This window comes from Homo sapiens, chromosome 3 (genome assembly GCF_000001405.40).
Source record: "Homo sapiens chromosome 3, GRCh38.p14 Primary Assembly".
In the NCBI taxonomy this organism is placed as follows: domain Eukaryota; kingdom Metazoa; phylum Chordata; class Mammalia; order Primates; family Hominidae; genus Homo; species Homo sapiens.
Genome location: NC_000003.12, coordinates 187,909,815 through 187,921,997, shown reverse-complemented (window position 1 = coordinate 187,921,997; position 12,183 = coordinate 187,909,815). Strand labels below are relative to the sequence as shown.

The 12,183-nt window shown below is 41.3% G+C and overlaps 1 annotated feature.

The window, feature by feature from the left end:
• Positions 2,561-2,740: an enhancer, noted in NCBI's record as "active region_20972". NCBI's record gives its function as "activates an Ori minimal core promoter by ATAC-STARR-seq in GM12878 lymphoblastoid cells {active_cell/tissue: GM12878}" and the evidence as "EXISTENCE:reporter gene assay evidence [ECO:0000049][PMID:35858748]".

Sequence of the window (12,183 nt, the reverse complement as noted above, 5' to 3'; positions counted from 1 at the left end):
TAGAACTAAAGATAATTTGTCTTAGTCTATTAAATAGTTAGCAATCTTCAGCTAAGCACAAGTTGTAGCTGAGGTCAAAAGTAGAAACACTAACTTTCTCTACGGCATTTGTTGATCTAACCCCAGGGTAGGAAGTCTAAACTCTGAGGAGAGGGTTCCCAGTTAAAGAGGTTAATAATATCTTTGTCACCACAAAGACTTGCCCCCTAGAACCATGGAGATTGGAAGAGATGACTGAAAGTTAATTCAGCCAGAAGATATTTTGGGCTCAAAAATGGAAGTACATACTGCTTATGGGACCTTTAAGATATGAATTTGAGACAAGTAGAGTCGCCTGTGAGATTGGGGAAGACACATTTTACACGTGTGGAAGCAGGATCAGCAGGATCAAACTTGTTTGGAGCCCATAGTAGGAAGTTCCCACAAGACAGAGTGTGGTTCAGAACTTTTGAATAATCTGAAGTGTGAAAACATGGAGCCAGGCTGCCTCTGGATGGAGTGAGCACCGCCCCACAGAAGCTGTTCAACAGAGGCTCTGGAAGGGAGGCCAAAGGGGAAGAGTCAAGTTAAGAGTGGCTGCAGATTGGAGAAATCTCCCCTTTGGTTTTCCACACTCCTAAGAGTCTGAGAGTCTAGAATTCCTTTCTCTAAAGAGGAAAGATACTAGAAAAGCCAGGGGAGACAGAATGACAAGAGGCAGGATGCAAAAACCTTGGGCAGCCTCTCTTCTCTCCTCTCATAATCGGGAGAATGATGGGATTCTGCACTCAGGGAAATGAAAGGGCAATAAACTTCCAAGGCAATGAAAGGCGCTGTCTCTAGTCCTGTATTCAGGCAACATGTGGAAGTCCTTGCTTTCAGACAGATTGTGGGGATTTTTTTTAAACACAAAAGCTTCTGTGGCTGAAGTGATGTGATCCAGATTGTGCAGCTGGAATTGCTCAACTTCAGGTGGCCCTGGGTTGGAGGACTACACCGCATGACTTGGTGTGTGCGGCATTGGCACGGTGTGGCGTGGGGTTTGTGGTGCTGGAATGGTGCAAAATTTCTCTTGAAATGTGTGCTGCTGCTTTGAGAGACCAATGGGATCATTAGAGAATGTCCACTGTTTATTAAAATGAACTCCATGGAGTACTAATCTCATAAGATCCGTGTTCTAGGGCCAAGTAAAGAGGAATGTTGTGTATCCATATTTCCTCCCTGTAGATTTACATTCAAAGGCTCTGAGAAGGGCTGTAGCAAAGCAACCTGTTTCATTTGGAATAATCCTGCTTTTTTTTTTTTTTTTTTTTTTGAGACGGAGTCTCGCTCTGTCACCAGGCTGGAGTGCAGTGGCATGATCTTGGCTAACTGCAACCTCCGCTTCCCAGGTTCAAGCAATTCTCATGCCTCAGCCTCCCGAGTAGCTGGGACTATAGGTGTGCCCCACCACACCCAGCTAATTTTTTTGTATTTTTAGTAGAGACGGGGGTTTCACCATGTTGGCCAGGATGCTCTCGATTTCTTGACCTCGTGATCCACCTGCCTCTGCCTCCCAAAGTGCTGGGATTACAGGCATGACCCACCGCACCTGGCCAATCCTTCTTTTTAAAAACTTATTTGATGGTGGTGTCAATTTTTACCTAAAACTACTGTCATCCTGGGAACTGATGCTCCGTGGTGAACACTGTGGTAACACTTTTGGGCAATTCCAAGGATGACACATAGACTCACAAAATGTTAGAACTGAAAGCAACACAGAATTTAATGCCATTCCCCCACTTTTTGAATAAACTAAGCAGAGGCCTGCAAGGGTTATACCAAAGTAATGACCAACAACCATTAACTCTGACCTGCAAGAACTTGAAATTTTAAAATGTCAACAAATGACTGTGTAACATTAGGTCATGGATTATGATGTAATATTATATTATACATAAGGTTAGACAGCAGTTACAAGAATACTGGACTTAGAATCAATAAAGCTGGGGTCTAATCGGAGGCCTCTGGCTCTGTCACTGTCACTGCTTAGGTCCATCTTTCTACTTTTGTTAGTGTTGTGTGCCCCCATCTCTAAAATGGGAAGAATAATGCTTGTGTGGCTGATCTCAAAAGTTCCGGTAAGAATCAAGACAGAACGAATGTGAAAGTGGTTTATAAATTGCACTGTGATATGTAGGAATCTTCCTTCCTCCTAACATATTGATGTTACAGCAGCATCAGGAGGATGTGAGTATTTTCCATTGCTTTTCTCATTGTGAGGGTAGTTTGCATGAATCTGCCACAGACTCCATCTTTCAACCACTTTCACTGTTTAGTGAGGTGACTGGTTACCTCAGCGAGCCCTCAGCAAATCTAGTTACCCCCTTGAGTGGAATGCTGGATCTGTGATCTTACACACACCTGACTAGCAAGGGAAAGCAGAAAGTTATGAGCAAGGTGAAAGTCTCAGCAGATTTTTGGACATTTGACTTCTAGTACTCACAGACACCTATGAAAAAAACAAAGGCTTCCGAATTTTGTGTTGTTAGGACTCAAAAAGAAGAAGAAAAAGAAGAAGAATTCAATAACAGTCATCACCAAAAGACAGAAAGAGAGGAAGACAGAATGTCTGCATTGAGAAAATCTTGGTATCTTATCTCTGGGATGTTATTGATGATCTGAGTATAGTGCAAAATCTTAAGTGAAATGAATTGGTGGTTTCAGTTCCGGATATGGTATGCAAAGAAAAAAAAAATTTGCTCTTTGAAATTCAACGCTTCCTCGTCTGTGCTTCAGGAAGCCACACGCCTGATGTTGAGCGTGGAAACTGACTCATTTCTAGCCCTTTGAGATTAGCCTCTCTAGCCCCCAGACTGTGGGCAGGATCTGGGCCCTAATGGGAAACTAGAATTGGGTCTGTCCAAACCTGGAGGAGAATCAGACACAACCTCATCGGATGCACATCTCTTTTAGGGTACTCAGCCTCCCAGAAGTTTCTGTAGGCAGAGGACCTTCTATACAAACTATCTCCAAAGCTTTTCAACTTGTAATTGGCAGTAGGTAGGTTGCCTGAAGTGGCAAAAAGCAAAAATACAAATACAGTGCTTACCAAGCACTTATCTTCAGAGTCGTGTTAAAGTAAGCTGGCCAACTGCCCCCCACTCCTCCCTTGGTGGAACAACACGTCTCTGACACTTTCAATTTAAAGACTCACATGTGTTTTCTCACCAACAAGCCCTAGGGAGTAACGAAACTTTCTTCTCCTTGACTCTCCCAGCAATCTGTTGATTTGGTGTCAACAGGTATTACAGGTATCTGTGTGTCACTTAGGCATTACATTTATTTAGAAAAGAAAAGTATGTTAGAGACTGGATGTCTCCCCCTGCCCCATTAAACTGACACAGGGAACCCCAGGATGACAGGGAGTTCAGATCTTCTAGAAGTGACCACTCCAAGCTTCAAGCTTGACCCTTTAGACCTTAAATCAGTGGTTTCCAAACTTTTTGCATACCCTCCCAGTAAGAGAAATAAACACTTGAAATGGCTTTTTTGCTTAATTCTGATGGACACATTAAAAAAACAAAGCGTTTGTCTAGAGGTAGTGAGAAGAATGCTGATTTAAATGAGAAGACAATGAGAGGCAAAGTGATGTTGGGGGCGGGGTGGGGAGAACAACTCGAGACTTGGCCTAGGGTCAGAAGATCTGAGTTTACTAACTTAATCTCACTAAGCCTCACTTTCCTCATCTGTAAAGTGTGAATGCTAATTACAAAATGAGATCACATATGTGAAAGCGTTTGCCTTATAAATGGTAAGGGATATGCAAAGGTTCATAGCTATTACTATGTATAAGCTTTTAAATATTAATGATTAATTTGTGTTAGAAATGAAATTTCAGACTTCATCATAGAATAAGGTTTAATCTTTCCGATTTTCTTATCTGCAAAGTTTTTATAAAACATAGTTGTCCGCATTATTGATTTATTTGCATGCCACTTACTTTAAAAAAGGATTTGAAGTAACATATACTGTTAGTCACAGAAATTACAGGATCATTAAAACACAGATGAAAGATTAAGACCTTGTCATGAAAGGACAGCTCGAAGAAAAAAACACAGAATAAGAATAATTTTAATCAAGCATATGATGTGATTTTGAGCTTCCCAGCAGCTTAGACAAGAAAGGAACATGCATTGCATTTCACAGCCCTCTTCCTCTAGTAAAGGAAGAATAGCTATGGATCAAGGGGGACCCAGCCCTTTCTAGCCCTAAACTCCACAAGAAATGTATCATGTGCAACCTTATATAAGAAATATCAAAAATAAATTGGGTGGTATCTTCAAACCGAAATGTAGCAAAGATACTATTCAATCTGACCACTAGGCGAGATTTTCCTTTGTGAATCAGTGCTTGCCTTCCCAGAACTAAACAAACAGCAAGATGATTAATATAAGGAGCAGGCTGCCTTAAAAAAAAAAAAAAAAAAAAAAAAAAAAAAAAAAAAAAACGAAAACAAAAAAACAGAGAGAGAGAGAGAAAGAAAAAGAAACAGAGCAGTGAAAATCAGAATGCCTGCCCCAGCCGGCTGGGGCGTGTCGCTGTCACCATTCATTAGGGGGTGTCAAGAAGGCGAGGCAATACGTGAGGTGCCTTGCACAAGGTCACTTGGTGTCTGTGAAACTGACTCTGCATTCTGAGTTCCTTAATATGATTTTTTAGGTCACAGTGTTCTAGGCAAAGCTCCCTGTTGATGTACATCTCTCATGCAAGATTTAGATCACCTCTTTTCGGGCAGAGCTCCATGGAAACACCGCCCATGATTTCTGAAAAGGAGTCTGATTGGGCCCTGGTGATACCCGGCTGGAGTGGACAGTGATCTCTGCAGTGGACACATTGCTGGACTGTTGGCAAGGCTACAGCTACCAGAATCTAGTCCTTGTAGGCTATTATTATTCTAATGCCATAGTAAATTCCTGTTTATCCAAAATGGCTAGGAAATGGGGCATTCTGAGCAATGGAAAATTCTGGTTCATTGGGTTACCCTCCATATCATTTACTGATTCTTGGTTTCAAAATAAGTAAATTACAACACACTTTGCTAATCACTAAAATGATAGTGGGTATGATTTAAGCTTTTTTTTTTATGATCCATAAGGTACTTCAGGATCTATTAGCACCTAATACCATTGTTAAGATCGCGACTTGTCATTTTCAAGGATTTGAGGTAGAAATGCAGGAGGTGGGGACAATTGGGCTGCATCAGTATTAACTCCCAACCAGATCGCTGGAACTGCTGCTGCAGTTGAGTTGAATCATTTCTTCCTTCATACCAGTTTGTTGGCAAGTGAAATAATAAGCATAAACATATTATCATAGTGCCTGGTATAGAGTAAGTCATTATTTTGTTATTATTTTTTTCCTCAAGAACATCAGGGGAAAGAAGAAAAGAATCGAATTCTTAACTAGCCAATTTGGTGTCTGAACAAATTCAATTCATAGAGCATTAGTTCTGACAGGAACCACGAAGAAAATATGCCTAATTTCATCATTTTCTGTAAAAGATAATTAAGGCCCAGAGAGGGAATGTCACTATAGCCTCATGTCTGTGAGGGGTTAGAGTTGATACTAGAACCCAAATATTCTGGGGCTAAGACCAGGGATCTTTTTAGCAGACCAACTCTTACCTTTATGCAGAGTTTCTGCACAGCAGGAAACAGAGAGCTGGAGGAGAAATGGCCTGTTTGCTCGGGGACTCTAGGAACTTACCCTATCAATACGGTTTGAAGGTCATCAAAGTCCCCTTCTGTACAAAAGCCCTGGCTATGACTCCAAAACACTTCACAGGGTAAAGGATTAATGAAGTCCCCATGATTCAGTCAAAATGAAAACTTTTTAAAAATAGCAAAGAGTCACACAACTCCCCACATCTGCAAGAGTAACTTTTTAAAAAGTCACCAAGACAGGTTTAAATTCCTAGCTTCGTCCTTTACTTTGCTTATGTTTTGAAGCTTGATTCATCCCTAGTTCTGTCTCTTACATACTTTTAAAGATAAACTTGTACTCACTTAACTTCCAAATTAATTTACTGTAAACTCCTCCCTCTGAAGGAAGAGGAAGAAGGAAATTAGTGATTTTAATGCTGATTGCATTTTTGAAAGGACTCAGTTTCTCGAAAATGAGCTTCTTTGTTGGTTAATAAATGTTTTCTCTGCCTTAGTTTCAGATTCTGATTGTTCTCTTTTCCTCTTGCCATTCTCTGAGCTCTCCTTCTGCCTTTGATCATGGGCCTGGAAATCTGCCGTTTGTACATGAGAAAAGAGAGGGCTGGGATTTCCATTACCTTCCAGAGTGCAGAGGGGACTATCGCATGAAATCTCTGTGAGGGACCAACTCCTATAACTGCTGCCAGAAGGGTGCTTTTTGATATCTGGCCTTCTATATCACATCTTTATTAACTCCAGGAGACTTATTTTCAGAGACATCTGGGTGTGTATGTCCATGCACATGCATACTCACGTTTTTCTATTTTCTGCAAATGCCTTGTGTTGACTATAAGCACAGAGTTGATCACAGACACTCTTAGGAGAGTATCAGAGAGGTCACGTGTCCAACCCTCCATGAGGCTCAAGTCCCTGCCAAGCCAATTCCACCACTTGGCATCCAGGTAAGAAAGGGAAGCAGGCAGGGAACAAGTCTCAACACTTTCTACCCCACCCTGCTCTCAAGAGCCTCCAGAGACCCCCATTGCTTTCCAGGTGCATTCTAAACCCTGGAGATTGGCACTCAGAGGAAGGAACAGGGTTTCCTGTTTGGCAATAACTGGCACTAGATAATATTTTATTTTAATAATGATGAGGCTGGTCTCTAAGACCCGGCTGACCCCTCCTGTCCTTCATCTTTCAACATTGTGAAATACCTCCCTTCCTTCTCTTACCCATCCTCTGCTGTGCCCAAGTCTCTGCTTACCTTCCCCCACTGCTCTGTACTTTGACTTCTCCTTACCCTCGTTCAAGCATTTTTTTCTGACTGTCATAGTCAATCTCCATTTCTCTCTGTTGAAGACACTTCCTCCTTTATAAAGTATTCCTTCCCTCTTCCTTCAACCTTCCAACCTTCATCCACATGGACTGTCCTCTCTGTGCCCCAAATAACTTACCTTAGGCACATTAGCAATCTCTCTTACTAGAGTATAAACTCCTTGAAGACAGGAACCACTTTATCTCTCTCCATATTCTCCTAACAGAGGACTAGGCCTGTAGTGGTGTAAGACAGGCCTTCTTGCATGAATGGAATCTCAGGTCAGTCTCACCTTTATTCTCATAAGAGGGAATGGTGTGTCCTCACTCTTTTCTCCTCCACTGAAAGCTGAATTAGGAATTATTTCTCTCCTGACCTCTGACCTAAATCTATACAGGTCTGTCCTGAAGCCACATCCACAAGATGATGGGGTGAACAAAAATAACCACGGGAGCTGAGTGACATAGCGGAATATTCACGCCTGTCCCGGCCTTCACATGGGCCTGGAAATTTACAGGAATGTATAGCTGTGCTGTTGCTGAGCTGGCTCAAAACCTGTTTTGCTCGAGCCTTCTTCCCTCACCAGATATGTTGGGTATGGTGAGTGTTGCCAATTGGGACAGGAGAACACCCAGCCCAGGCCCAGGTTTTATTTATCCCAGTGCAGCAGGCTTGCAAGTTAAGGATCCACAGACTTTTCAGTCCTTAATATGAACCTGGGAGCGTTTTGAGATATCTCAAGCAGCCAAGCCAAGAAAGCTTTCTGATTCCAACGGCAATAACCAGTTGTGATTTATTGACTATCAGACCCTGGAGCTGGAAGTAACCTTAAAAATCACCTTATGTGATTCTTTTCACAGATAAGGAAACAGATCATATTTGCCTTGCTTTTAAAATGAGGATAGATTGTATTTATTTGCTTAGTAATTCATTCATCCACCTATCCATCCTTTTATCCAATGATCTATTACCAACTCATTCATTAAATATTCACTAAAGCTAGGTGCCCAGCTTGCACTTAGTTCTAGACATAAAAACATAAATAAGATATGGCTTCTGCTCTCTAAGAGTTTATTATACCTACATGCATACACAAACACATAATTATGATTCAATGTGGTATATCCTGATACAAGTGTAAACAAAGCATGTTATGAGCACAGAGAAAGCGGTGACTAATCTGCTGTGCCTGGAAGAGTGAGGGGAGAGGTAACATTCAAACAAAACCTTAAAGGGAGAGAAAGAGTTCTATAAACAAGGAAGGAGGAAAGGGTCAGATTCTGAACAGCATCTCAAAGGCTCAGCCTGAGGGGAGTGTGCAGCTGGCTGGGACTCCTGAAGAGGGCTGTGGTGCAGAGTGCAAGACCTGCACTGTGGCGGGGGTGAAGGTGGTATAGAAGCCTAGCATGAAAATTTCCATAGCTGTGCTGAATGTCTGAGCTTTAGCTTGGGGCTGACAAGGAATCTTAAAAAGTTTTCAGATGGAGCAGTGTCACGTCAAATTTACATTTTGTTAAGACCTCCTTGGCCATAGTAAGAAGAGACAGAGACTGTTGCAATTATCCTAGAAATAAAGTCAGCCAGAGTAAGCTTTCAAACATATGTCAGACCATGTTACCCACTTGCTTATAAGCCTCCATGCCCCATACTGTCTGTCCCCATCACAAATCCCTGTTTTGTTTGTTAAGGTAGTACACATTGCCTTATTAAATCATTTTATTTATTTGTTAGCAAGCTAATTGTCTGTCTCAATCCTAAAGTGAAAGCACCATTAGAGCAAGGGCTATGTGTGTCTTAGTCAACATTGCGTCTCCAGTCCTAGCGCAGCAACTGGGGCATCACTGGCCCCACAGAGAGTTTGGAGAATAATTGCCAAGAACTTGACCTCAGGAGGTGGTAATGGGGAAAGAGAGAAGGTGAGGGAAGATGACCCTCAAAGGCAGAAAACCAGATCCTCTCTTTTCAGACCCACAGCCCACTCAGTGAGTGGACAGTAGCTGTTTTCAATAGACGGAGAATGGGGTGTGTTCTTCACTGACTGAATTTGCTGCTCACATCTGAGAATTTTTATGACAGGCAATCCTGTTTTCTCTCTTGCCCTCTTCACCCTGTGTGTTTCCCACATTATCCGGCTGTTCAATGTAATCTTCCAAGGATCCTCTACTCTGTGCTTCTGTGTTCTAGCCTCAACCCTGCTGCTAACTAGCTGTGGGACAGACAAGCTACTTTCCTCAGGGCTTTGGTTTCCTTAACCGTACAAAGAGAGCGCTCGCCAAGGACCCATACAATGCTTTCTAACTTACATGCTGTGATTCTCAAATTTCCCCAGCGACGGCAAGAGTTCTTCTGTGTTTTCATTTTATAAAGTGTACAATGATTATGCACAAAATCTCACAAAACAATAATTTTTTTATATACCCCTATTGTCCCTCTCAATTTCTAGCCATAAGTGTTTTTACAGTGATAATCAGAGCATGTGTACAATTTTGCATTCCACTCTCATGCTTGCCCATTATTTGTTATATGTCTTTCATTTTGCCACAGAGTCTTCTCATTTATCATTTTAATGGCTACATAATTTTTCATGGAGTTAATATATCATAAATTATTTAACCATTCCTAAATTGTTGGAAATTTGGATTATTTCCAGGTTTTGCTATTTTAAAGCACCTTGACCATATAGGGTTTTTTTTTTCTTTTTTTTTTTTTTTTTTTAAGAGGCGTTTTACTTAGAGTAAATCCCTGGGACTGAGATTATTAGCTGAGTTTTATGACCTTGAAAGGTATTGCCAAACAGCTCTCCAAAGGGATTGTTTCCATTTGCGTTCAGTTTGTGTTCCACACACGAGCATGCCAGTGTCACAGAAAGCTTGCCAACATGTTTTTTTAAAATCAATTTCCTTTATTTTTTTCAAGTTCAACTTGTATGAAGTGGGGCTTTCTGATTGTTGCTGTATCAGGGTTATCATCAGTGAGGCTAAAATTATGATACAGAGCTTGGTAAATAGAAGCACTTAATAATCAGTATTGTTATTATAAAAAGAGGAATCCTAGGAGGATGAAGCATGCTTGTTCTATCCTCAAACCTCTTTCTTTTCTACTCCTGCCTCCATTTCAATTTACTGCAAATAGTTTCTCCTTACCTTCAATGTTGCCTCCAATTAAAGTGCTACCAGTTCTTCTCTATTCTAAGGTAGCAGAGGCTCCTTAAAGTTAGAAGTCTTGGGCCACGCTGTTTCCCCACTGATTGTCCCCTCCTTTCCATATCTCTGTCAAGAGAGGATCCTCAGTAAATATGGGTTGTTCCCAAAGCAGATTCTTATGTTCCTCTGAAGTCCTCCTTTCCAGAGTTGCCTTCTCCTACTTCTCATCTTCCCAAAGACACCCTTTTGTTATTTGAAGATGATGATCATTTCCCCAGTGAACATTTTCTTCTCCAAGTTGAATATCTCTTCTTTTTAAGGCATCCCTTATCCTACTCAAATGTTCATCTTCTCACAGTCCTGGTTGCTGCTCACTGAGTGAGTTCCAGTCTGTAAATTTCTTCCTATAAGTGTTTGGCCCATTCATCTATTAAAATTTAGTAGACATCATCCAAGCAACAAGCAGGAAATGAAGATGAGTAAGACCTTGATCTTGGCCTCCATATGCTCAGAGTCCAGTGGGTCAGAGGGAAGCACAACCCCCCAAGACTTTGGCTCTAGAGACCTCCTAGATAGCAGGCTGATGAGTAAGTCAGGGAACGACACCCACAGGTAAGTCTGATGGTCTCCTTTGATGAACCAAGCCTATCTATGGCTCATTGGTAAAATGATGACTGTCCTACCAAGTGGAAGCTATCATATACCATTTGGCAGAAATGTCATAGCATCCCAGAGCCTGAATTTCTGAGGCTTAAACCAGGAGAAGAGTTCTAAGCAGGATAGGAGATGGCTACTCATCAAGCAGAGCTAATCCAGGGCCATGTTTAAAGATGGAAAGTGAAATACCTAGGCCTCTGCCAAGGTGAGGCTCCTCGCTATTTAAAGAGCTTGCAAAAGTCTAAGGAAAGCCAGTTTCTTAAGTAGGAAGAAAAGGAGTCTGCTATTAACCGGAGAGAAAAAGAATAGAGAAAACTTTGGTTTTGCCCTGCCATTGTTGGGTGACATGGGTTATGTCACTTAGCTACTCTAGAACTTAGTTTATTCATATGTGGGAATGGGCAGGGTTGGACTATTTAGTCTGTAATGTACCATCCAGCTCTCATAATCTATGATCTACCGAACACCAAATTCTGATTAGTCCCTCTTGACTTCTTGAATCCTCCCTCACCCACCCTAGAAAAGCACAAAGAAGAAAGTGACCTCACTGATTACTGCACAGATGTTGGAGAGCCCGCTAGGACTCCATGATCCCTGTAGCGACTATGGTGATCATGCCCAGTTGTGGCTAAAATATGTTGCTGGCAGGATTTGTACTCAGTGTACTGAGCCTGGTGCTGTGGCTGCTGCCTCTTACTTCCTCTCATTAAGGCAAACCACCATCTAATTTTTTGTTTTCCCCACATGTTTTGAGTTTGCTGCTTCCCAGCTCTTGCTATTAGAACAGGCATAATTAATAACTCCTGGCACCTGGAGCAGCCAGATTGGACAATCTGCCTTTTGCTTTCTCGAACTGTCTTATGACCAATCTGAACGTCTGAATTTATATCCTGGACTTAATAAATGGATTGTTTTGTAATCTCCAGAAAGAATCAGAAACTCACCACATTACCAGCAAAAACAAAAAAACAAAAACAAAAAACAAAAAAAAACAAAAAAAAACAATTATTTATAGTTCCTAGTGGAAGTTTTATCCCACCTTTAAGTTAAGAACTGAAAACAAACTGTGGTCTCATCCTTTCTCAAACTTCTGCTGAGAAGATGATTTTGTGGCTTTCTTTGGTCATTGTTTTCCATTCTGGGGTCATCAAGAGTTTATTCCTAAAGTGTAACTCATTCAACTTCTGTGGCAGCCTAGACCTATTTCCTTAGCAGAATTAAAAACAAAGACTCATCATTCTCAGTTTACTTTTCTTGTGATTGGAGAAATTTAAGGATCTTATTAGCATGCTCTATTTTTACCCTAAGCAATCACAATTTCCACCTCAGGGCTCCCACACCCAAACATCTGGCATATCTCATTCTGTCATTTGAAATCTTATTAATTTGCCTATTTCACTTAATT